The sequence below is a fragment of the Homo sapiens genome, chromosome 4 (assembly GCF_000001405.40).
Source record: "Homo sapiens chromosome 4, GRCh38.p14 Primary Assembly".
Lineage (NCBI taxonomy): Eukaryota > Metazoa > Chordata > Mammalia > Primates > Hominidae > Homo > Homo sapiens.
This window is the reverse complement of record NC_000004.12, coordinates 168,714,540-168,741,922: the sequence shown is the minus strand read 5'-3', so window position 1 is coordinate 168,741,922 and position 27,383 is coordinate 168,714,540. Positions and strand designations below refer to the sequence as shown.

Below are 27,383 nucleotides of genomic sequence, written 5' to 3'. Positions count from 1 at the left end.
CTGACAAATCGAAAAATAAAGTCAGCTGTCAATGAAGACTGGTTCCTTCGCTCTCCCACCTCTCCAAAATGTTTCTGTTTATTCTCCAAGATTTGTCCAATAGGAGCTTTCCAGGACCACTGAGCCTCATCAGAAGAGGCACTCATGTTCTAGGTCTTTGCAGGATGAATTGCTCTTTTTATTTTCCTCTTTCTCTCTCTCTCTCTCCAACCATTCTTTTTTGTTTGTTTTTTGTTTTTGAGATAGGATTGTACTCTGTCGTCTAGGCTGGAGCGCAGTGACACAATCATAGCTCACTGCAGCCTTGAATTCCTGGACTCAAGTGATCCTCCACCTCACTGTCCCGAGTAGCTGGGACTACAGGCATGAGCCACCATGCCGGCTACTTTTATTTTTTTTTAAAGAGCCATGGTCTTGACGTCTTGCTATGCTGCTCAGGCTGGTCTCAAACTCCTTGGCCTCAGGCAATCCTCCTACCTCTGCCTCCCAAAAGTGCTGGGATTATAGGCGTGAGCCACCACGCCCAGCCTTGACAACTATTCTTATCAAAAAGATCACACACACACACACACACAAAAAAAACAAATATAAGGAAGGAATGTTTTTTAGAACTTGGATTTCCTCACTAGCTCAGGAGCCAGTGACCTCATATTATAGCGATGAAGACAAATAAGAATAGTTTCTGAATTGTCACTATTCTCTGTAATTTCTTCCATTTTTGGTGTCCTTGAAACATGACAGCAGTACCAACTGGATAAGAGTGATCCGCCATCCAGAGTTTGATTTAGTTTTATGGAAATGAGCCATATATAGGGATAGATCATGAAGCCAATGGGAAACATTTAAAACTTGAGATGAAGTTAATCAAGCCCGTATTACACTTAACAGTCTTCTCTATTAAATAAACTTCTCTTCCTTCAAGATACTATTTTGAACAAATAAGATTTCTGCAATTCTGCAAGACTGAAGTTAATTAAACAGCATAGCAAAATGGAAAACAGATGTCACAGAACATTTTCAAAGGATTTTAATGACATTCAGCCTATTTTCTTAGACTCGTTTGCAGTTGCTATCGTACCCTGCACTTAAGTAAGTTCCTGAGTTGTTGGAATGGGAGGATTTATATCCATTTCATATAACTGGCAGTAGAAAATCTATTCAAAGAGAAGTACAGTTGTGGTAATCTTGCAGAGTTTTTTTGCTCCATAACCTGACTGGCTCTTTTGGCTTAAACTCTTGAACTCTTTTAAATTAATGTTTTCCATCTTTCAAAAGAACTTTCCATCTTTCAAAAGAACTTTCCATACCACCAACTCTGATTCTAATTTTTAATGGTTCTTTCTGGTAGTCTCAGGCTTAATTATTCTGAAAGCGCCTGCAAGATTGACTAAGAAACTTAGTATCTGTCAATTCCAGCTCAGAAAAAAAACCACAGCATGAGGAAATTTTGGGAGATGAAACTCCTTGTTAATTCAAGTATAGGCATCCACAGTTAGATTTTTAATGTAGTTTTTCATACATTGAGGAATATTATATTCAAAATTCAAAACTGCAAAGGTCTCTTTAAAGTATCAAAATTTCAGATGACACTGAAGAGAAGAAGTAAGTTTACTTTCTCAAAAAGTGCATTCAGAAGGAAAATGTAGAGTGACCAAACAGGGATTATAGAGAATCTTGTGACTACTTTTCTTCTTTTGTAACTCATCCTTTAAAGCATCTTTTAAGATGTTTCCCAGTGCTTGAAACCATGTGATGATTACTGACATATGTCCCAAGAAGCATTACAAAATTTACAAGTTTTTTTTTTATACAGGAAGCTCAACTACCTATTAAAAATGGCATGTGTCATTTTTTTTCCAGTTTCAACTAACATGGGAATTAAGAGGAAGCAATGAATTATCATGCTGCCTGTTGTTTATATAAGCATCCCGTGCAACTTTCAAACCAGGGGCTGTTTTAAGCTGAAACAATGGTATCTTTCAAATCAGAGAAGAGATGACATAAATACATGCTACGAGTGTGAAACAAAGGGACAAGAATTCTAATTAGAGCAGCAATAAAGTAAACCTGAAACAAAAATTCACGCAGTAAATAGGTACCCTTATCTTGGGCAATGGCTTGTTTCTGGTGCTGCCTTTATGACGTGTGTGATGGAGAGGACTGCAACTTCTATATTATCAACAACATGGGCTTTTTTCTTGTCTGGACTTTTAAAAAGTTGATGCAAGTGTTTGTACATATTAATGGGGGATATGTGATATTTTGTCACATGCATAGAATGTGTAAGGATCAAGTCTGGGTATTTAGAGTATTCATCAGCTCAAGTATTTATCATTTCTGTGTTGGGAACATTTCAAATCCTGTCTACTAGCTATTCTGAAATATACAACAACTTTCTGTTAACTATGGTCACCCTATTCTGCTAACGAACATTAGAACTTATTTTTTCTAACTGATGTTTTCACCTATTGACCAAGCTCTCTTTATCTTCCTCCAAAAACCCTTCCCAGCCTCTAAGAAAAGGGAACTTATATATTGTTGGTGGGAATGTAAGTTAGTATAGCCACTATGGAAAACAGTATGGAGATTTCTCAAAAAACTAAAAACCGAACTACCATACCATCCAGCAATCCTACCACCGGGTACTGATCCAAAGGAAAATGAATCAGTATATCAAAGAGATACTTGCGCCTCCATGTTTACTGCAGCACTGTAGCCAAGATATGGAATTAACCTAAATGCTCATCAATGGACCAATAGATAAAGAAATGTGGTATATATACACAATGGAATACAATTTGGCAATAAAAAAATAACGAAAGGCTGTCATCTGCAGCAACATGAATGGAATGGGAGATCATTGTGTAAAGTGAAATAATCCAGACAAAGAAAAACAAATATTGCATGTTCCACTCATACATGGGAACTAAAAATGTTGATTCCATGAAGGAAGAAAGCAGAATGATAGATACCTGCCTGGACTCTATGCTTGAAAGTCTTTTCCTTTTATTTCTAAGAAAGCTTTATAATTAACTATTTTTTTCAAGAAATATTATACAGTACTCATTAATGTTGCCATCTGTAATTTTTGATATGCTAGGTATTAATATAAAAAAAGAGTAAGATAATGAAAACTGGAGGAATTGATTTGCTGTAGTTGGGCTGGGTGTGAATAAGAGTTTAAGAAGGACTGGCCGGGCGCGGTGGCTCACGCCTGTAACCCCAGCACTTTGGGAGGCCGAGGCGGGCGGATCACCTGAGGTCAGGAGATCGAGGCCAGCCTGGCCAACATGGTGAAACCCCGTCTCTACTAAAAATACAAAACTTAGCCGGGCATGGTAGTACACGCCTATAATCCCAGCTATTTGGGAGGCGGAGGCAGGAGAATTGCTTGAACCTGGGAGACGGAGGTTGCAGTGAGTCAAGATCTCACCACTGCACTCCAGCCTGGGTGACAGAGTGAGATTACATCTCAAAAGAATAAAAATAAAAAATGAAAAGTAGATAGAACACATATTAAAACAAAATAAAAATTATCGAACATTGTGGACTCTTCTTAACGCTTGCTACATACAAGTCTCGTGTATGCTCTGTGTCTTCCATAGAGGCTCCTTCAGCCATCTCAGTCCTCTTTCATTCTTGTCCTCCACCCCCACCCAATCCATGATCAAGCCATTGTTCTAAGTGTATGTCTTCTGCGAATGAAATCTTGGTTATAGAAAATGACTCTTGAAGCATAATTGATTCCAAACCCTGACTAATAACAGGTTTTAAGTTCTCCTTTTTCACATCAGTTTCTGGCCACAAATCAATGAAAAATGCCAAGTGAAATGGCCTTGAAAGCTGAAGGCTAGGACAAAGGTAATGTGGTTTTAAAATGAAAAAGAATGGTCAGATTCCTTCCATGCTTGGAATTCATGGACAGTCCTCCTCCAAGGGGACTTCACAGTCTAGAAAATGTGTTGGGAAACAGATGAGCCTCACAGCTGCTGCTGTCTCTGGTCAGCATGCTATGCGTGTTTTGCTCAGCCCGAAACCACTGCCACAGCATCTCAGCAATCACCCTGTCCTCAGTGTTTGAAGCGAAACTACTAAACTACTAAGCTACGCCCTTTGGAAGGGTTAGAGGTATGGGCCGAATTATTTCTTCTCTTTCTTACTTGACCTTGATCTGTTCGTCACTAACAGACGGTCACCATAGACACAAGGAACAAAGATAGGTTCTTTGAAAGGCTAAGCATATATTGGGAGATTGACAAAACTGCCACACCTTCATGGAAACAATCAGAATGTCACTGAGGAATGCAGAAAAGATGAGGAAAGAAAGCAAAGTAGTGTGCTTTTGTTTGACTGCAAAGCCCCTTTTTAGTAAAGAAAACTGTTTTCAAAAAAAAAACCAAAAAAACAAATTGGCATCTTCCATTTGTGTCACCCAGTAAGTGAGCATGTTGTACATAGAGAAAACCCTTTCCAAACTCCTCATTACTCACATAGCCAACAATTTTCTTCTAATGTGCCTTAATCTTGGAAGTGTGTTTTCTTTAGTTTCTTACTCTACAGATGTCTTCTCCATCTGGCACTCAAAAATATTGTTACTTGCATATCATTTGACTTATAAAAAAGAAAAAAAAGAGGCCCCAAATGTGCTATAGCAAGAATCTTTGAGTTATCTTAAGGGATGTGAGCATTTTGTTCATTAGCCTCTATTCCATTCTTTTGAAGACTTGATAAACGTGCCCAGTGTTTTAGCCCTATTTGTTTTGTAGGTCAGATTAAATCTGGGTGTTTAAAAGAGGAGAGAACAAACCCTGGTATTCTTTTTTGCATGCATAGAATGTAATACATTATAGCAATTGTGGTCAGCAATTTGCATATTCCAATTGTGCTCCAAAAGGTACCTAAATCTGCCTTTTGAAAAGAAGAACACACACATATAAATCTTCTTTACACCACTGTAGACAATCACGTTAAGCTTCTCGTTTCCTATCTTTGAATATTTTAAACTTCACGTTAATAACCACTCCCCTCCCCCTCCCACTGTTTCTCCTGAGGGTCTGTTTTTCTCTCCTTGTCTCTTCATCACAGTTGTCAGCACATTTTTGACACTGAGGTCACTAGCAATTGGAAGCACAAACTTGAGGGTCAGTGTTGTGAATGTTTTAAAACATGTTGTGGGAGATGCTGTTCCGCTTGTTAGCTCCCTCACAGCCATCTCCACCCAGGCGGAATCCTGATGTTCAGATGGTGGATGGAGATCCTTTGCACCTAGGGCCTTCTGCAAGTCCAGGAATGAGTTATACCTGGTCTCCATGAGGATTCCATTCGCCTTTGCTGGATCATTATTTCCCAGCCTTTCTTGCAACTAAAAATTGACCCGAGACACCGTTGTGTTCAATGGCACTTAAGAAGTCTCCCAGAAAGGACTTCGGAATAAAATAAGCAGAGCCTCACAAAATGTATTGCTTCTGCCCCATCCTTCCTGCTCTGGAGATGGTGACAGCACTTGGTATTTGAGCAGCTACAGCTATCTTCTAATCATGAAGGAAAGGCTAAAGCCTTCAAATGCATTCTGATGTTTCTGAGCTACTGACCCAGGCCTAAGCTACCAATACATACACACTGTGTGTGTGTATGTGTGCACACATGCATGTGTGATGCTTTCTAAGTATGTATACATACCAGAATAAAAGTGTAGTAATTATTAATTATCAGTGCAAACACTTTGTTTTCACAAAATGAGGCCATTTTTGAGAAAGGAAAAACAAAAGCAAAATTGCGGCAACGAATAGACTCAAATTAAAGATGTGGTCACAGGAAGACTTTGCATTGCTGCCCAAGCTCTGCCACTCATTGAGCCACTGAATGAGCTCCAGTGGCAGAGCTTATTCCACTGATACCACATCACTGGAGAGTTTCTGGGTCTTTCTATGCTGTTTCCTTTTGGCAAAGCTTGGGTTAACCTGTGGAATGTTAGTCAAGTGCCCAGCTATTAATAGGAGTAATTCTGCTTTTCACAGAGTGGCAATGAAAGTAATTTGCAAATGTGGGAGGTAGAGGAACAGGGAAAGAGAAAGTCAGAGTCAAAACGGATACAACTAATCCTCGCTTGTTCAGAAGACAGACTTTCAGCAATCATCAAAGACGAAAACCCAAAGCTGAAATACTGCCCCCAGCCAGGAAGAAAAGAGAAAGAACAAGAAAAAAGAAAAAAAGGCCCTGAGGGAGTTTTCACCAACATGATTGTTGACTATGTATACTAGAAGCACGCAGAAACAACAGTATCTAATGGAAGGAGAGAAAAAGCTTTAAAAATTAGAGAAAAGGAGTCTCAAAGTATGAATGGGTTTTTGCCATCCCTCTCATCTCTTTCTGACACTCTGCCTCAGGTTGCAACATAACCGTCAAGAAACAGTGAGACGAAGAAAAGAGACAGGCTCAGAGAGCATAAGAATGTGTTCTATTATATGGCAATAGGTGGTTAACATGAGTAGGAGTGACGTTTTCTTTTCTTAAAGCTGTTCTCTCAGGAAAGTGAAGGACGTATTCTAAATACTCTCTTTCCTTCTCCTTGGCAGGCTGAGTGGAAATGCTGTTTGGGGGATATACTGAATGGAACTGATGAAGTGAGGGCCGGGACCTCGAGAAAAGGCCAGTGGGGCGAGAGCAGTGAGGGCAGGGGACAGGCAGTCTAGTCTGTGGTGCGGATGCCTGTCTGCCAATGGGGACAGCACATAACTTTTGAACTCAGTGGCCGTGCTGATTGTATAGGAGTAAGACATTGTTTAGGGGGCAAACAGAATCAAATATTATATTGCAAGAGCTCTTCAATGAATAACAGGCTCAATCTTTGATATTCATGAGAATGACTCAGCCTCCAAGAAAAATTTCAGTTATTACATAGAAAAGTAGACATTTCAGAACATTGCCATCCTTACTACACTACTACTACTAGCATCACCCTCTCCCTCCTCTTTCTCCTCTCTCTCTCTCTCTCTCTAAGAGATGGGGTCTTGCTCTGTGGCCCATGCTAGAGTGCAGTGGTGCCATCATAGCTCACTGCAACCTTGAACTCCTGGGCTCAAGTGATCTTCCTGTCTCAGCCTCTCAAGTAGCTGGGACTACAGGCGTGTGCCACCATGCCTGGCTCCTCCTCCTCCTTCTCTCCTTTTCAGTTTTAGTGCTTAAAGGAATAGTGTTAATTTTCTAATGCTATTAGTTAGTTTCCTGGAAAGGTCATTTTTTAATAGAATATTGTACTCCTTGAGGGTGATTTTTAAAAACGTTTACAGCAGCTTATCCATAGTAACGGCTAATGAAGATTGAAGACAGAGCAAGACAGATGAAATAATAGGTGAAAATGGCTCACTTGAGCTGAAAGAAGCTCAAAGCAGAAATATGTTCAAACTAGAAAAAAGAAAATTGGCAACTACGTGCAATTTCGAGCTGCACCATTCCTCCACCACATCCCCTCCTCTCAAATCTTTTAAAACAAAAACAATACAGGAGACACATAGATTATGGCCAAGACATTCTATGTGGATGTTTGACTAGAGTTGTCAAGCCACTGATTAGCTTTGTGTCAGCAGGATGTAGCTGGCTTCTCCACCTACTGAACACAGATAACTTTTTACACTTAAAAAAAAAAAAATCAAACCCAGGACTTATACCGTTATTTTATATTTAACCTTAAAATAGTAAATTTTTTTGGGAAACAAATGAGTTGCCATAGTTAACACTGATGTTACTAATTAAGATGCCAATTCAAATCCTAGATAGGCATTTGAAAAATGATTCCAGAGCTCATGATTTTCTAAGTATCAAACCGATATCTCAGATACTCAGGATTTGAGATTTTAACAATCATGTTACTACTTAAAACATTTCTGTGGCCGGGCGTGGTGGCTCAACGCCTGTAATCCCAGCACTTTGGGAGGCCAAGGCGGGCAGATCACGAGGTCAGGAGATCGAGACCATCCTGGCTAACATGGTGAAACCCCGTCTCTACTAAAAATACAAAAAAATTAGCCAGGTGCGGTGGCGGGCGCCTGTAGTCCCAGCTACTCAGGAGGCTGAGGCAGGAGAATGGCATGAACCTGGGAGGCGGAGCTTGCAGTGAGCCAAGATAGCACCCACTGCAGTCCGGCCAGGGCAAAAGAGCGAGACTCCGTCTCAAAAAAATAAAACAAAACCAACAACAACAACAAAAAACATTTCTGTAATCCCAGCCCTTCAGGAGGCTAAGGTGGGAGGATCGCTTGAAGCCAGAAGTTCAAAACCAGCCTGGGCAACAAAGCAAAACCCTGTCTCTACCCACCCACCCCCGCCCCTCAAAAAAAAGGGAAGGAAAGAAAAGAAATAAAACATTTCACATTTTCTTAATTGCTAACACCTAAAGCACACTAATATTTTACAATTATGATCAAGTTGTACTCATCACATTGGTCATATTTTTCAACCCATCTCAAACACTTTTAAAAAATGGGATTAGTCAAATGGCTAATGAAAGTCAGCTAAGATTTAGAACTTGTCTACTTAAAAGGAAGAGAAAACATGCAGGAGTCATCCCTAAGCAGTAAATTTGTAGAATTTCAGGGTTAGGAATGAAAATATTTTTATTTAAAGGTTAAATTAAGAAGTTGGTTAATGGGTACAAAAATACAAAGTTCTAGGATTTGATAGAAGAGTAAGGAAATTATAGTTAACAATAAATTATTCAAAATAGCTAAAAGAAGAGAATTTTAATGTTCCCAACATAAGATAAATGTTTGAGGTGACAGATATCTCAATTACCCTGACTTAATAGTTACACATTATATATGTATTAAAATATCACATGTACCCCCCAAAATGACAACTATGATATATCAGTTAAAAAAAGATACCAAGAACCTATGCTTACATGAGTCCTAAACATTTCTTTTAACCACAAGTTTCTAGCTTACGTGTATTATCACACAATATCAAATTTCTTTTTGTAAGCATGAGGAACATCCCTGTAAGTCTTCTGACCTATCCTACTACTGAATGTGGAGCTCTTAGTTACATGATCATGTTCTGGTTAAGACTTTCTTTGTGAAATATTTTAAAGGGAGCAAATAATGAGTTGTGAGGAATAGACTATCGGATTGTATAAAAATCTGTATCATAAGTATTTTAATGTTCTGATGAGTCATATTTTAAATCAGTGCAACATTTTTGTCTTTGGGTAGTCTCAGCTTGAATAAGAACTGAATTACGTCGAGATTAGAAAAGAAAGAAATTCACTTTGAGGTCATTTTTACCTTTGGAACATCCTTAAGCCCCTATGTTTTTCTGAGTTTTCTGGTTATGTTCCTAGCCTTATAGATATTTGTGTTTATTTTCACTTTTTAAACATTTCCAATCAATCCTGAATTTTCTGAGCTTCTAGTGATATTCTCTTGCCTAAGAGGAAACAAGAGTGGAAGAGCAAGCGGCTTTCTAGAAAAGGCTACTGGGCTCCTTCATTGTAAATTCAGGTTATTCTAGGCCTATCCCAGATAATACATATCACATTTCTTCGAGCCTTCTCCAGATCATCTCTAGATTTGTTTTTTAAGTTATTTACTACTCAGCACTGACTCTAAGTCAATCAATCACCTGCCCGTAGGAGAGGAAAAGGGGAAATGAGAACTTCAAGAGAACTGACAAGAAATATGCCACAAGTTCTTCGGAAACTCTTTGTACACATGATATTGTGGAATAGGGATTTGTCCAACGCTACAAACTCGGATGAAAGTGGTAGGTACATTTTACTTTGTGCAGCACTTTGTCACAGAATGAGATGCAGCGAATTCAGAAGTATCTCCCTAATGATATCTCCATTGGTTGTTAAAACAAAATTCCTGGAGGGCTCCAGCATTTCAAAGCAGAAAGCATGACAAGTTAAGTATTAATTTTCAGCCTTTCACCATCCATGTGTAACATGTCTCATAAAATCCTCTGTCTAGTGGTCTGTTAAGTGTTTTCTGCATGATTTCATATCTAAATTTGCACAAAAGAACCACTTGTTTATCAATCTTTTGTAGCCCACAATCTGTAGCCTGGTATCAGCTACTTCCCTCTCATTTTTGGTATTCAGCTTACTAGAGTTCATATATGCAATTTCCAGGAACTTTAGGGTGGTCTGAATTGAAACAAAAACTTCTAATTGGTCAGTGATTTTTCTATCTTTTTTTCCTTGCCACTTCTTGAAGGTGGAGGAAGAAAACTCAGCATAGCAGAGGAATAATTCACTTACAGTTTTTTGCAAGTTTTGCAAATTGCTTATTTCTGAAACTTTCTATATGTGCGTCAAATAACAAAGGATTCATTGTGAACATTGTCTTAATAATAACAAAAACAAAGACAGATAATATCAATTGGACTATCTGCCCTTTGGCATGCCCTGTGCTAGCACATTATTTCACGTGACCACACTCCTGTGAAGTAGGTACTGTCACGATTCCCTCTTAATGAAGAGGGAACTGAAATGGGGCACTGAGTAGCTTATCTAAGGTCATCTAGCTTGGGAATAGGGGAGATTCTGTCTGTCCTATACTGCTTTCTTTAGCTGGAAAGAATCATCTTCAAAAACAAGCTGTGAAGTCTCATAAATTGACATCCACTTAAAGATGGCAGATTGAATGGATGTGTTTATTTTTGTTCCTTGCTTCATCGTGAAAAAACTGAGAGCAACGGATTGTGAAACTGTAAGTTCACTGGAATTAAAAGTAAAAGGATGAGTTGTCACTGACTTATCAGGAGAGGAAAACCCAAGTGCCTACAGAGAGTGAATCAAACATGAGGGATGCTAACGTGAGCAGCAGAAACCTTGATCACTAGATTCCTCTGAAGGTGGGGAAGAGGAATGGAGCTTAGTACAAGAAGACTGGCTGAAAGTTTGTAGGAAGGCAGCTGAATCCCTTCCCCCATTTCTTGTAGGTAGTCAACCATTCCTCCTCTACTACTCTAGAATACAGAAAGCTCACTTTATGGAGATGGAGAGCCAAAAGGGTTTCAAACTCGGAAACATCTGGCACAGCAGAATGAACAGGTAAGAGAAGAGGGTGAAAAATGGGGGTAAGGAATTAGATGGATGCATATGTCTACTAAATGATAAAAGCCAACCCCCTTCCCTTACTCAGGCTCCAAATGCTGTCTGCCAAGCATGTTACCTGCCCCCACAACCACCCCCACCATCCCAAGGAAGGTGGCTGAATATCTGTCTTTCTAGAGAAACTGATTAACCCAAGACCTGAAGATATTGGCACTTGGGGGTCTTGCCCAATCCTAGGGTAAAGCCTGCCCATTGACACATTCTAGCTAAGCATATAGTTTCCAATCAACTTGCTGGTGCCAAAGATCACGCTTTCCATGTTTATGGAAAGCCTCGAACATGAAATTTAGTCCAAATGCACACACAGAAAAACAACAACAAAAAAAAGGAATTTTAAGAAATAGAGACAATGCAGGGAACAGGGGAAAAACAAAACAAAACAAAATGACAATAACAATAGGATTCCCTCCTCCAAAATCCAATGATTAATATGAGGCAAAGGACACGATTGCATCCATGAGACAGAACAGAATGCCATGAAAGAATATAGAGAATGAGAAAGAACTCTTGGAAATTAAAAATACAATAGCAGAAATAACAGATTCAGCAGAAGGTCTGGAAGACAAAGGTGAAGAGGTCTAAAGAAAGTACAATAAAAATAGGCAACAAAAGAAAAAAGTGAGAACATCAATTAGGAGTTTTATTAATGTAATAATACAAGTTTCACAAAGAGAGAACAGGGAAAATGGAGAAGAAATTTAAAAATAAGAAAATTTTCAGAATGTATATACATGAGTGTTTTCAGATTGAAAGGGCCCACTATTTTCTATAATTTCTGAAAAATATTACATATCATCACAACATTTCAAAGTACTAGGGGTGAAGAGATAGTTTTACAATGAAAGTCAGTCATATACAGGATTAGAAACCAGATTGGCACTGAATTTTGCTACAGTAACTCTAGGAACTAGAATATGAAGCAATTCCTTCAACGTTCTTAGGAAAAACCCATACTCTTAAACCTAGCCAAACAGTCAGTTTAGTGTGAGGCTAGAATAAAGACACTTTTCAGACAAGCAGGGTCTAGAAGCTTAATGTGGTCTGTACCCTTTCTTTGGAAGCTACTGGAGAATGTGCTTCTGGTAAATGAGACGATAAAATAAAAAGTGAAATATATGGCACTTAGGAACCAAGGGAGCCAGGAGAAGAAGAGGGTAAAAGTACACGAGAATGATGTTGAAGGGAAGTCCTAGGAGAACAACTGTGCATTGATCCTAGGGAGCAGTAGTCAAGGGTGGAATGAATGATGGGGAATTCCGGGAGGGAGTTTTCCTGCCTTTAAGAGGCACTACTTTTGGAGCAGGAAAATGTCATGAGAAAAACAATGTTTAAGAAGATGCCCAGGCCAGGCACAGTGGCTTACATCTGTAATCCTAGCACCTTGGGATGCCAAGGCAGGAAGACTGCTTGAGCCCAGGAGTTCAAGACCAGCCTGGGCAACATAGCAAGACCCCGTCTCTAAAAAAAAAAAAAATTAGCCAGGTATGGTGGTGCATGCCTATAGTCCCAGCTACTCAGGAGGCTGAGGTTGGAGGATCCCTTGAGCCCAGGAGTTTGAGGTTGAGATCCAAAGCAAAAGCACAGTAGTTGCCCATGATGTAGTACCTAGCAAAACCCTAGAACTGAATTCAGCTGGTGTCTTCCTCCTTTGTTCTGACTAAAAAGACCAAGAAATTGGACAAAATTTAAAACGTGTACCTTCTTTTTATCCATTTCACTTCCCATTTTAGTTGGAACACAATTTATTTAGGTCGCTTACTAAATTAGTTGGACCTAATTTATTTAGGTCATTTACTACTATCACCAAGAGTTAAAACAGAACTTCATCTTAGAAAGGCAAGACACAGATGTCCTAGCCAGAGCAATCAGGCAAGAGAAAGAAATAAAAGGCATCCACAAAGGCATAAGAATGATACAGTGGACCTTGGGGCCTTGGGGGGAAGAGTGGGAGGAGGGCGAGGGATAAAATACTACAAATATGGTGTAGTGTATACTGCTCAGGTGATGGGTGCACCAAGATCTCACGAATTACCACTAAAGAGCTTACTCATGTAATTAGATACCACCTGTACCACAATAACTTATGGGAAAATAAAAAAACAATTAAAACGAAATAAAAGGCATCCAAAAGGAAAAAAGGAATTCAAATTATCTCTTTTCACTGATAATATGATTCGATATCTAGAAAATTCCTAAAGACTCCACCAAAAGGCTACTAGAATTGATAAACAATTTTAGAAAGGTTTCAGGATACAAAATCAATGTACAAAAATCAGCAGCATTTCTATACACCAGTAATGTCCACACTGAAAGTCAAATCAAGAACACAATCCAATTTACAATATTCACAAAGAAAATAAAATACCTAGGAATACAGCTAACCAAGGAGGTGAAAGGTCTCTACAAGAACTATAAAACCCTACTGAAAGAAATCAGAGACAACATGAATAAATGAAAAAACATCCATGCTAATGGATTGGAAAGATCAATATTGTTAAAATACCCATACCACCCAAAGCAACTTACAGATTCAATGCTATTCCTGTCAAAGTACCAATGTCATTCTTCACAGAATTAGAAAAAACTATTCTAAAATTCATATGGAACCAAAAAAGAACCCAAATAGCCAAAGCAATCCCAAACAAAAAGAACAAAGTTGGAGGTATCACATTACTTGACTTCAAGCTATACTGCTAGGCTACAGTAACCAAAACAGCATGGTACTGGTACAAAAACAAATACATAAACCAATGGAACACAATAGAAAGCTCAGAAATAAAGCCACAAACAACCATTTGATCTTTGACAAGGCTGACAAAAACAAGCAATGGGGAAAAGGACTCCCTATTCAATAAATGGTGCTGGGATAGCTGGCTAGCCCTATGCAAAAGAATAAAACTAGACCCTTACCTTTCACCATATACAAAAATTAGCTCAAGATAGATTAAAGATTTAAATATAAGACCTCAAACTATAACAATCCTAGAAGAAAACCTAGGAAATAACCTTCTTGACCTCAGCTTTGGCAAATCATTTTTGGTGAAGTTTCCAAAAGCAATTGCAACAAAACCAAAAATTGACAAGTGGGATCTAATTAAACTAAAGAACTTCTGTACAGCAAAAGAAACTATCAACAGTGTAAACAGACAACCTACAGAATGGGAGAAAATATTAGCAAACTATGTACCAAACAAAGGTCTCATGTCCAGAACCTATAAGGAACTTAAATCAACAGATAAAAAAGAATCCCATTTAAAAAATGAGCAAAGGACATGAACAGACACTTCTCCAAAGAAAACATACAAGCAGCCAACAAACATATGAAAAAATGCTTATCACTAATCATCAGAGAAATGCAAATCAAAACCATGATGAGATACCATGTCACATCAGCTACTATTAAAAAGTCAAAAAACAACAGATGCTGGTCAGGCTATGGAAAAAAGGGAATGCTTACATACTGTTGGTAGGAATGTAAATTAGTTCAGCCCCTGTGAAAAGCAGCTTGGAGATTTCTCAAAGAACTTAAAATAGAGCTACCATTCAACCCAGCAATCCCACTACTGGGTATATACCCAAAGGAAAATAGATCATTATACCAAGAAGACACATGCACTAGTATGTTCACTGTAGCACTATTCATAGTAGCAAAGACATAGAGTCAACCTAGGTGCCCATCAGTGGTCAACTGGATAAAGACAATGTGGTACATATACATCATGTAATACTATGCAGCCATATAAAAGAATGAAATCATGTACTTTGCAGTAATGTGGATGGAGCTGGAGGCCATAATCCTAAGCAAATTAATGCAGGGATGGAAAACCAAATACTGCATGTTCTCACAAGTGAGAGCTAAACATTGAGCACACATGGACATAAACGTAGAAATGACAGACACTGCTAACTACCAGAAGGAGAAGAAAGGGAGGAGGCTGTGGGTTGAAAAACTACCTATTGGATACTACATTCACTACATGGGTATAATATACCCATGTAGCAAACCTGCACATGTATCCCCTATATCTAAAATAGAAGTTGATTTTTTTTTTTTAAAGGGACAGCATCTCATCTGCCTGAAGGATGAACTCTATCTGACCTCTCAAAGTGTCTGCTGAACCCTGGGCTGAGTGTGGTGGCTCATGCCTATAATCTCAACACTTTGGAAGGCTAAGGCTAGAGGATCGCTTGAAGCCAGGAGTTTGAAACCAGCCTGGGCAACAAAGCAAGACCCTGTCTCTACAAAAAAGAAAAAAATTAGCCAGGCATGGACAACAGAGTGAGACCTTGTCTCAGAGAAGAAAAAAATTAAAAATGTCTACTGAACACAAGGTGTACAACACCTTAAAGAAGAGAGCATGAATGATCCTGGGTACCTGGAGTAATAAAAATAAAGTGAACACTTCATAAAAAAGAAAAGCAAGATGCATTATTGTAATGCAAAATAAGAAAAATACAAGTTTCTCTCTAGTTGATACCTTGATGAAAATGGGGTCCTCAGCGTAAATCAACTTTTCAAGTTACAGGACCTTCAGGATTCATCTAATTCCTTTTAGAAACTTCTGACAGTTTTTAGTAAAAATAAAAAATTCCTAACATTTCTCTCCAGTAAGGCAGCTGTTCAGTATCAGGAAGTCTTAATTATGATAATAACCACATATATTTCTGCTTTTCAAAGATAGAATAATTACAACAAACATGAAGTGAAACTCTTGCTGTTGTTCTAGAATGCTTCATCATGAGTAATCCTATCTGTGTAAAATTGTTTTGTGATAGAATAAAAATACACATGAATATTTCACATTTGAGTTAGAGGATGCCCTTTGAAGAAAGCAGTGGCTATGAGGGAAGGGAAGGCACATAAAAACAGTCACCTGGAGCAAGAATTTGCCCCTGTAACTAGCACTGTTTGGAAGACTAAGCTACTCTTTTTAGAGTTTTAGTTTTTTCTAAAACTTTATTTTAGAAATTAAAGAGAACAGGCTGGGTGTGGTGGCTCACGCCTGTAATCCCAGCACTTTGGGAGGCCGAGGCGGGCGGATCATGAGGTCAGGAAATCGAGACCATCCTGGCCAACATGGTGAAACCCCGTCTGTACTAAAAATACAAAAAATTAGCCGGGCGTGGTGGCAGGTGCCTGTAGTCCCAGCTACTCGGGAGGCTGAGGCAGGAGAATGGCGTGAACCCGGGAGGCGGAGCTTGCAGTGAGCAGAGATCGCACCACTGCACTCCAGCCTGGGCAACAGAGCAAGACTCCATCTCAAAAAAAAAAAAAAAAAAAAAAGAAATTAAAGAGAATAAAATATATTGTTCTTTTTCACTGCATTGTACTCAAGCCACCTTTTATGTCTTTTAGGGTTTTTTTGTTTCAAACATTGAGCATAATGATACATCCCCGAAACCAGATGGTATATGAACTATTTTAACAAAGAAACAAGGAAAAGAAAATATTTGTGGTCTTTCCAGAAATCTTTTACAACTTACTCATTTAATGGCAATTACTAGGAAAGCAGAAGTTTGAAATTGTAGCTGAGGCATATAATTACCCATTTTTGACCTATTTATAAACTTCTCTGAGCGAAAAGAAGAGTCGATGGCTACACCTACTCTTTTCCATTGCTGACATATAAAGTGAAGTGAAAATATTTGGCTAGGCATTCAACTGTTAGTCATTCAATTGTTTCACTAGCTTCACATCCAGAGGCTCACAGCTGGAGTCTCTCAAATGCTACCTATTGTGGATACATACATCATTACATTTAAATAACAAAACAGACCTAAAGAACATTGTGAAATGGAGCAGAGCATAGAGCAGACATTCCCAGGGCTTCAGAGTCGAGATGGTGTACAGTAGTGAGCTCTAGGAAAACACAGTGGGAATGTAGATACAGAAATTAAGTAAATGTACATATTTATGAAGGCCTTTCCTCTCAGCACCATAAAAAACCCTTGCAGTGAGTGTGCATCCTCATGACAGCCTTGGGCAAGAGGAGCCAGTATCATCCTACCAGGAAACCTTCACATACAGAGGTTGGAAGGCATGAACCTGGTATGCTCCTAGAGCAAAATCTGAGGTTCTGATCGTAATTATGGTTTCTCTTTGAATAATGAAGCAAAGATGTGTGTGTTCAAATTGACGTGATTTATCCAGCCAACTTATTTTAGAAAAATCTACATTTGACAGAATCAATTTAATATGTTCATCATTCTTAAAATCAAATGACATACTATCTAATTCCTTGTCACATATGGAAAAGGTTTTTTAAAAACCACATTGACTCCACTGTCATCCACAAGGTTTGTGTAATCATCACTTTAGTCAGGTAAGGAAACAATCACTCTCAGATTTGTTGAGAAAATGAACTCTCTGGTTTCATACTTGTAATAGAAACCAATTAAAATAAACCTCCCTGTAACTAATGTTCTCACTATTAGGTGATGTATTAGTATGAATGAAAAACTCACACATTTGCAGAAAAAATAAATCAATGGTAAAAAAATTGTCAACCTAATGTATTTCAGCCTGTAGTAGACAAAAATAAATTCTCTAGTAGTAAAAGTTGTAAACATAAAATGAAATTAAGCAAATATGAATTAGAGAGTCATTAGTTGAGAACAATCATTTTAAAATACACAAATGAGGAATTGGGCTTGTTCAATAAAAACCCAATTCAACACGAGGTCAAGAGATCAAGACCATCCTGGTCAACGTGGTGAAACCCTGTCTCTACTAGAAATACAAAAAAATTAGCTGGGCACGGTGGCACGTGCCTGTAATCCCAGCTATTCGGGAGGCTGAGGCAGGAGAATTGCTTGAACCTCGCAGGCAGAGGTTGCAGTGAGCTGACATCACACCACTGCACTCCAGCCTGGCAACAGAGTGAGACTCCACCAGAAAAAAAAAAAAAAAAAAAAGCCCAACTCAAAGTCGTACTTAGAGGTTAGTAACCACAAAATGGATCATGGTGCTACCACGTAACTAAAATAAATAGGAGGCTAAAAAGTAAGTAGTAATTATATTGGAAATGGCTCTATTTCCTTCCAACTGCAAGTAATCTTAGTCACTCTTCATGAAATAGCAGCAAGTGATCCTCAGGACGATGCTTTTGCTTCTCAGCATCAGATGGTACAGAGTAGTGTGCTCTAGCACAACACAGTAGGAATGCTGACACAGAATTTCTGTATCTGCTCTAGCATCCAGAGGTTCGTAGTGCAAAACTCTGCACTATAGCTTTCTTCCTCCTCATCTTCCTTCTCCAATTCTCCCTTGAATCCCTTTTCTAGATCTCTTCTATTGCCTATGGGATTCCTTGGCTGTTTCTAACCAAACTCTGCTTCCTCAAACCTTTTCCTTAGAAATGCTTTGTCTTAACTGAAGTCTGGCTGTCCCTGATGATGTCTCCAGCCTCCTCAGTATCCTTCTGAGCAAGGAGGGTTCTGCAGGGTCCTTGTTTCCCAAGGCAACTCTCAGAAGAGTTTTGCCATCACTACGAAATATCTGTTCCTCTTTTGAAGTTGGTGCACTCCACCTACAGTCATTCTGTCTTCCCTGCTTGTCACCAACAACCTTGGTCATTTCCTCACTTTTCTCAGTGACTTTACTATTTAGCATTTGGTTTTCTGCCATCACTGTTGGCCACCATCCATGTTAATGTTCCTTCTAACATCCTGGCTTCATGGTTCCCTGACCACTTCCTCTGCTCCTGCGACCTTAACTTCCACTTAAACTATCCACTCGAACAGATGCATCTTACATTCTTTTATCACTTGGAAAGAGTTTAAGTTTTTTAAACTTTCAGAATCCTCTCTTTGATCACAACCACTGCTCCCTCTCCATATTTTCTCATCTGACACTCCCCATTTTCATTCTTGGTATAACTTCCATTTTCTTGATTCCTTTCTCTTTTCCCCTCAAGCCTTAATCTTGTTGAATCTGTTTCCTTTTCTGAACCTACACACGGCTTGGCTGATAATCTCAGTAATGTTTCTCAAGGATCATCTAATTAAATACCATAACATCCCACTGTGCCAGTACTGCCAAAGACATATGTCCTGTTTCTACCTTCACAGTGCTCATTATTGCTGAAATAAAGTCATGAAACCATGCTCACTGAATTGAATGTGGGTTTACACTCTTGAAATTCAAATGGGTTCTCTTGATTGCCAGGAAATATACACATTCCTTTTTTGGTATTCTTTCTCTCTCTTAGTTCTCCACCCTTTTCGTGCTTTGTAATATTACCCACAGTTACCACAACTGTCTTTCCTCTTTCAGCAGATGCCTTCATCGCATACTTTCCTGACATTATTGTTATTTGAATTGGAATCTTAGTCTTGCCTTCATTGCATCTTTTCTCCTTCACCATTGTCTCTGAGGGTAAAGTTTTCATCCTACTTTCTGTGGAAGGCCTTGTATGGATTATACTGTAAATGTTGGTCTTTAAAGTATTTGGTTTACTTTTAACTTTAAAATTGGCCAGGTGTGGTGGCTCACGTCTCATAATCTCAACACTTTGAGAGGCCAAGGCAGGCAGATTGCTTGAGACCTGGCTGGGCAACAATGGCAAAACTCCATCTCTACAAAAAATAAAAAAAATAGCTGGGTGTGGTGTTGTGCACTTGTAGTCCCAGCTACTTGGGAGGCTGAGGCAGGAGGATCACCTGAGCCCAGGGAGGTCAAGGTTGCAATGAGCTGTGACAGACCACTGCACTCCAGCCTGGGTGGCAGAGTGAGACCCTGGCTTGAAAATACATACATACATATATACATAAATAGCTTATTCATATCATATTCATTTAAACACCTGAGATGTACAATTAAAGGGATAAGAGTTTTGTTTGGTGGGGGCAGGTGTTGTTGGAAAACAGTGTTTGTGGAGGAGTAAAGTTATTTTGGAATATAGGACATTTTCTGGGGAAGGATTCCTAGGAAGAGTTCTAAAAATCCAGATGGAATCCTGAAGGTCATTGGTTTCTAGAAGGAGATCCCACACGGGAGGTGAGAACATTCAGTGCCAGAGCATTCCACTTCTGAATGTGCTCAAAATTAAGCTTACTTAGCAAGCAACTATTATTTAACAAGAAGCATCCATGATGAACAGTCAAATGAACTGAAGTTTAATGGAGGAAGGAGGATGGAAGAGAAAGGATCAAAAGTACCTATTTATTTTAAAATAATACTTTGTAATTATAAAAGCATTATGTCAAAAAGTTGGAAAATCAGGAATAGTTAATGAGAAGATATAATCTGCCCAAATTTCCAGCACTCAAAGAACCACTGGTTACACTTTGGTGTATTTTCTTCTAATATATAATATACATTTTAGTTGGTTAAAGTGTATTATTTTTTATTTTTTCATAAAATTGACATTAAGTTACATATATCATTTTGTCTATTTTCACTTAACACTATATTGTTCATATTTTCCATCAAATTCATAGCTTTATCTATGAGCATATTGTTCATATGTGGCTCCATCTTATCTCTGAGCTTAGCCACTCCCCCTTTTAAAATAAAAGGTCTCTACCCAGTAGGGATGACTATTTTCACCTTACTTTGTAATTACTAAAAGAGCTCTCCTACGCACTTAGGTAAAATGAAGATATGTTGAAGAAATATTGTTATCATCATGTATTCCTTCATGTAAAACACCTAATATTTGAAATGGACATATGGTATTTCTTATGGATGATTGAGTGCCACTTCAAACACAGATAGGGTATCTGCAAGTATTTCCAATTATATTTCAGACATCAAATAAAACTCCTAATCATAAAAATAGAACTCAGCTTTCTTCTGGAAATGTAATTAAACATTACATTCACCAAGAGACTGGCACAGCAAAGCACAATTAGCCTAATATCTAAGAATGTGGCACTGTGTCAGAGCCAGTATTTACATTAAAAAATCATGAGGATGAATGCACCTAAATGTTATTACTTAGTTAAAAAAGTTTTATACTTCAGGAAGCTCCTTGATTGGACTTCTCATTTTCAGGGAAGGGTTGTTTGCAAAGTGATCCAAGACCAACACTGCTAATGCAAATACCTTCACATGAATGAGTTTATAGGATATGCCTTTCTCTTAAGACAAGATTTATGGAACAATCGGGTATCTAAGACTGGGAGTGAGAGAAAGGAGGAAGAGAAATGCAAATGCAAAGTCATCATCACATTGTATTTATGAAGAGTTCATACCCGCATAGCCACGTACTGCAGAATTAGGACCCGTGACTACTCCTATGTTCCTTATCAACCTCCAATGTGTTTGGTGACTCAGAGTGTGTGTATAATTTTATAACAACAAACTGAAAAAAATGGTTTTCTGCTCTATCTTCCCTAATATTTTGAAGACCCCTCTGGTCCACACTTTATGCTTTTGCCATTACTAAATTGCTTTGTTATTTGACTAGCCTTCGAGGATAATGAAAATCACTTAACCAGAAACAAAAGCTGGTGCATATTAAATCTTCAGAATCAAAAACTGAATGATGTATCTTTCAAACATTAAAGTGGGAAGAGAAGGCATTTGGGTTGCACTGAATCTAATTTAGGGATTGGCCATTCTTCTACAAAATTTGTATGATGCTGAAAGATGTGCAGCATTTTGTGTATATGTGTATGCATCTGCACGTTCTTGCCAAAATCATCGTAGAGATAACCAGGTTATAGATTATTCAAAGGTACTGCTCTTGTCTCTTTCATCTTTGTGTTTTCAGCACCCCACATTACCCAGCATTTTGCAGATGTTCAACTAACAGTGAGGGGATGAATGGTGTTCTACTATTCAGAACAGCACAGACATGGAATCAACCTAATGCCCATCAATGGTAGACTGGATAAAGAAAATGTGGTACATATACACAATGGAATACTATGCAGCCATATAAAGGAACAAGATCATGTCTTTCCCAGCAACATGGACAAAGTTGGAGGCCATGATCCTAAGCAAACTAACACAGGAACAGAAAAACAAATACCACATATTCTTACTCAGAAGTGACAGCTTAACAACAAGAACACATGGAAACTAGGAGGGGAACAGCAGACACCAAGGCCTGCTTGAGGGTGGAGAGCGGGAGGAGGGAGAGGATCAGAAAAATTATCTATTGGGTACTATGCTTATTGCCCAGGTGACAAAATTATCTGTACACCAAACCCCTGTGACAGGCAAATATATAACTAACGTACACATGTATCCCCGAACCTAAAATACAAGTAAGAAAAACTTTTTTAAATAATACTTTTGGCTGGGCATGGTGGCTCACACCTGTAATCCTAGCACTTGAGGAGGCCAAGGCGGGCAGATCACCTGAGGTGAGGAGTTCAAGACCAGCCTGGCCAACATGGTGAAACCTCGTCTCTACTAAAAGTACAAAAAAATTAGCCAGGCAAGGTGGCGGGTGCCTGTAATTCCAGCTACTTGGGAGGCTGAGGCAGGAGAATCACTTGAACCCAGGAGGCGGAGGTTGCAGTGAGCCGAGATTGTGTCATTGCACTCCAGCCTGGGTGACAGAGCGAGAATTTTTCTCAAAAAAAAAAAAAAAAAAAAAAAGAAGATTACTTTTGATAATTACTTAGGTCATTGAAACTTAGACTGGTGGCTGGGAGCAGTGGCTCACGCCTGTAATCCCAGCACTTTGGGAGGACAAGACGGGTGGGTCACGAGGTCGGGAGTTTGAGACCAGCCTGACCAACATGGTGAAACCCCGTCTCTACTAAAAATACAAAAATTAGCCAGGTGTTGTGGTACACGTCCATAATTCCAGCTACTCAGGAGGCTGAGGCAGGAGAATTACTTGAACCCAGGAGGCGGAGGTTGCAGAGAACTGAGGTCATGCCACTGCACTCCAGCCTGGGCAACAGAGCGAGACTCCGTCTCAAAAAAAAAAAAAAAAATTAGATTGGCAACAATAGAGAAAGGAATTATCAATCATTTCTACAATAAATATATACAATCACTTAAAAATAAGACTTTTTAATTACTCACATGAAACATCTCTAAAATCTACTGCTAAATAGAAAAGGCATGGTGCAGAACAGTATATGTGGTGGGTAGGCACTTGTCTAAAAATAAAAGAAAAAATACACATTTTATATATACGTATATATTTGCTTGATAGGCATGTAAACAATCTCTGGCAGGATACACAAGACAGTGACAACTGGTTACTGAGTCCGAGAGGCAGACTTTTCAGTGCATATATTTCTTTATACTTTTAACTGTGTGATTGTATTACCTAGAAAAAACAAATTTAAGTTGAAAAGAAATGAAAGTAATGGCTAGCTAACTGAACATACATGAAATTCCATGGAAATTACGGATGATTTAAGTCTACAGGTTGCAGACATGTAAAAAATTAGAAATATTGGTTAAGAAAAAAAAGTGTGCTAGATTTTAAAATACTTTTATGTACATTCAATGATTACATTTCCTTGACCCTTTGTTAGTTATTTTGTCCCAACTTGTTTTTGCTTACCTTGTCTTTGTCCTTTTTGTTTTTATTTTGCTTTGCTTTTCAATCAACCAGGTAAGGTTTATACAAGAACAGAACCTAAGAAACCATTTGTATACTAATGTCAAACAGTAATATAGTGAGATCTTGAACCCTAACTAGTAGAGGTTGAAGGACGGGATAATGTTCAACTTTGTAAGTTCTATTGCCAAAGCCACACGTTGGAGTTGAAGCTGCAGTCCAACATAAACAGGACAGGAAGGGAGTAGCACAGAAGCTCTTGGCCCTTCACCACAAGTCTGGCATCTGATGGGGTGTTAACATGTCAAGTACACACACCTTGAAATAGCAGTGTGATTGCACTGTGGCCAACTGACATTGCAAGTATGTACTAGAGAGTGAAAATGTCCTCCTAGTCCTTCCGAATGTCTCATTTTTCATAATGTTTTAAATTAAGATGCTAATCAAATGAGAACACAGAAGAAATGAGGAAGGAGTTGAAAGTGTTCCCAAATTAAGTAACTTGGACAAACTTTTCTAATGTAATTCTATCCCATGAGATTCTTATTTAATTCTTCATACTCATTTGGTTTACAAGATAAATGATGTCAGTTGGAAAAGTACTGTAATGTGGGAAAACTCTGGAGTTGATGGGGTTTGAAAATAGAAGTCCTATGGTATATCTAGGTGAAAGGCAGATCAGCCAGGCATGGTGGCTCACACCTGATATCCCAGCACTTTGGGAGGCCGAGGTGGGTGCATCACCTGAGGTCAGGAGTTCGAGACCAGCCTGGCCAATATGGTGAAACCCGGTCTCTACTAAAAGTACAAAAATTAGCCAGGGGTGGTGGCACGTGCCTGTAATCCCAGCTACTCGGGAGGCTGAGGCAGGAGAATGACTTGCACCCAGGATGTGGAGGTTGCAGTGAGCCAAGATCACATCATTGCTCCATTGCTCTCCAGCCTAGGTGACAAAGCAAAACTTCATCTCAAAAAAAAACAAAAAAACAAAAAAAGAACGTTAGGCAGATCAAATGGGGGTTGCTCTAAAGGTGGGAGATCTTTCTTTTCCTCTTTTTTGTTCTGCTTTTGCTTCATTCATTCAAAAAACATCGTTGAGCATCTACTATTTGTCAGGCCCTGTTCTAGGGTCCTAGTGAAAGAGCAATGAAATAAGACAGTCAGGGTTCCCATTCTCAGGAAGCTACATTATAATATTGGAGGCAGGGAGCAATTAAAAAAAACAAAAAGCAAGTAACTGTCGGAAATAATTATGTGGTATGCGATAATTAATGAGGATGAGTTATTGGAACATGGCTGGGTGGCTGCTTTAGACTGGGTGGTCAGGGAAGTGGTGACATTAAGCTGAGATTTGAAAGACAAGTAAGAGCCAGCCATAAGAGGCAGAACATTCTGGGGAGTGGAACATTCCAGGCAAGGGAACAACTTGTACTTCAATTTGTGTCTAGGAGTGTGGAGGAAACCCATCAGGAATTTCCAAATATGGAAAACCTCACTAATAAAGAGAATGATAAAGGCTGCTATTTCCTTCTCTTCTATCTCTCAAACACATCATCTCATGAAATGATATTTTCCTGATTTTGTGCAGTGCTTATTATTGCTTATTAAGATGTACTTTACTTTGTTAGCCTAGAACTGGACTGAGGTGATGCTAACAATCCCTAACAGCTCAATATGAATGATTTTATAGGCTATGTCTTTCTCTGGAGACAGGATTTGCAGAACAATAGGGTATCAAAGGGTGGGAGTGAGAGAAAGGAAGAGAAAAGCAAAGGTTGTAAAATGCAGTAATTTTGAAAAGGTTGATTCAGCCTGAAATCGTTTTACTCTTTTAAGATAGAAAATCATAATACTGTTTCTTCTTTAGAGACTGGGGTAAGAGCAAGTAGTAAGAGTAGGAGCAAGGGGAGCTGTTGATTTAGCATGTAAACACTTAACAATCATTTCATTATTATTTTCCCAGGCAAAAGGACACAGACTTTCACGGTAATGCACATATTTTTGGCACTAGAGTAACAAATAAGCATCATTTTATCTGCTGATCTGTCCCAGGGTAAGAACTTGCCCATCGCATCACCCTTCAGTAACCTCCCTTTGGAGTTCTCATTTTGCTCGTCTACAGGCTTAGAGTCCTACCTTTCTCCCACAAGACAAAGGAAGAAGATAAAAAAGGAAGTAACAAAGGGGATTTGAAAACAGCATATTGTTATTTATATATTGTTGGATCTGCCGTAGGAGGTGAGCTCAGTGGAAAAACATGACCATGCCTTTCTATATGCTTGGCAAATCGCCTACCACATTTTGCCATTCACAGGTTTCCCTTCAGAGCTTATTCCTAGGGGGATTCCATGCATGTCTATGGTTTTGACTTTTTTTTTTTTGAGATGGAGTGTCGCTCTGTCACCCAGGGTGGAGGGCAGTGGCGCTATCTCGGCTCACTGCAGGCTCCGCCCTCCGGGTTCACGCCATTCTCCTGCCTCAGCCTCCCGAGTAGCTGGGACTACAGGCACCTGCCACCACGCCCGGCTAATTTTTTGTATCTTTAGAAGAGATGGGGTTTCACTGTGTTAGCCAGGATGGTCTCGATCTCCTGACCTCGTGATCCGCCCACCTTGGCCTTCCAAAGTACTGGGATTACAGGGGTGAGCCACCGCGCCCTGGCTGAAGGACCGTTTTTTTGGTAGGAATAAAGAGAAGCAGAGATTTTTCACAGTGAGCCCTACCTTTATTTTGATCTTCAAATATCATTTGTAATGAGAGGGCAGCAAGGAACCAAGGAAAAGAATAGTGTATAAGTTAGGTTTACGCTCATTCCCTCCTTTTTCCTCCTGTTAAGATTATGACTTAAGCATTGTGTTGCTTCTTTCATGATGTGATTGAAGATTGTGAGTGTCAGCCACTGAGTTGCAGAAATAATGCTATTAATTTTTTCTTGTGCAGCGTTTAAGCACACTTCGCAGTCCCACAGCGGGTGGTAAGGCGTTGCACAAATCCTGTGTGCAGGTCATCTGGGACTCACCAAATGGCCTACATTTAACTATCTTCTGCTTACACTTGAGGGAGAGTGTTAGAAACAAAGGGAGATGTAGGAGCTGAAGTGGATGCGTCCACGATACTAAGCCAGGAACCCCCACTTTATGAGAGGTACCACAGACTGGGCCAGGAACCCTCACTTTATGAGAGGTACCACAGACTGAGCCAGGAACCCCTACTTTATGAGAGGTATCATAGACTGGACCAGGAACCCCTACTTTATGAGCGGTACCACAGACTCGGCTGGAGGTCTGGGATGGCTGTGAGTCTATAGGTGACGACTTCTGTTGGACAGTACAGGGTGGGGGCTGGGCCTAGTTAGAGAAAAGAGCTCATGGCCCTTCCAGGTTTTTGTTTCATTCTTGAATTTTTTTTTTCTTTTCCCGCAATCAGTATTGGAGCTATTCAAGAGAGAAAAAAAATGCAGTTTTCTTTTTTTTTTTGAAAATGATCTTCTTTCCCCCAGACATCTGACACATCAGACACCATTTTCAGATTAATTCATTGTGAGAGTAAATATTTTAGTTCCTATTACTTGCGCCCTCCGAATTGTTTCCTATTAGTTTGTTTACAAATGATGGAGATGCACAAACTGCCATAACGCCACCAAATATAAGCCTTTCCTTTTGTGAAAGAAAATCAAATCATAAACCGATGAAAAGAAGATTTGAGCAAACCATAGTTTTTCATTGCTGACCACACGAGGCAAATAAAATCTCATATTTTCCCACAATGTATGAAAAGAAAAAAATGAATGT

At 39.1% G+C, this 27,383-nt stretch overlaps 1 protein-coding gene across 17 annotated transcripts in view, besides 3 other annotated features; it reads right to left on the bottom strand.

The window, feature by feature from the left end:
* Positions 1-27,383, bottom strand: part of PALLD (palladin, cytoskeletal associated protein) — a 431,390-nt gene that overhangs the window by 186,519 nt on the left and 217,488 nt on the right. The window lies entirely within an intron of this gene.
* Positions 5,741-6,242: an enhancer, noted in NCBI's record as "NANOG hESC enhancer chr4:169656832-169657333 (GRCh37/hg19 assembly coordinates)". NCBI's record gives its function as "activates a minimal SCP1, AML or CMV promoter by ChIP-STARR-seq in naive H9 embryonic stem cells {active_cell/tissue: H9 hESC(naive)}" and the evidence as "EXISTENCE:reporter gene assay evidence [ECO:0000049][PMID:30033119]".
* Positions 7,528-8,027: an enhancer, noted in NCBI's record as "H3K4me1 hESC enhancer chr4:169655047-169655546 (GRCh37/hg19 assembly coordinates)". NCBI's record gives its function as "activates a minimal SCP1, AML or CMV promoter by ChIP-STARR-seq in naive H9 embryonic stem cells {active_cell/tissue: H9 hESC(naive)}" and the evidence as "EXISTENCE:reporter gene assay evidence [ECO:0000049][PMID:30033119]".
* Positions 8,028-8,529: an enhancer, noted in NCBI's record as "H3K4me1 hESC enhancer chr4:169654545-169655046 (GRCh37/hg19 assembly coordinates)". NCBI's record gives its function as "activates a minimal SCP1, AML or CMV promoter by ChIP-STARR-seq in naive H9 embryonic stem cells {active_cell/tissue: H9 hESC(naive)}" and the evidence as "EXISTENCE:reporter gene assay evidence [ECO:0000049][PMID:30033119]".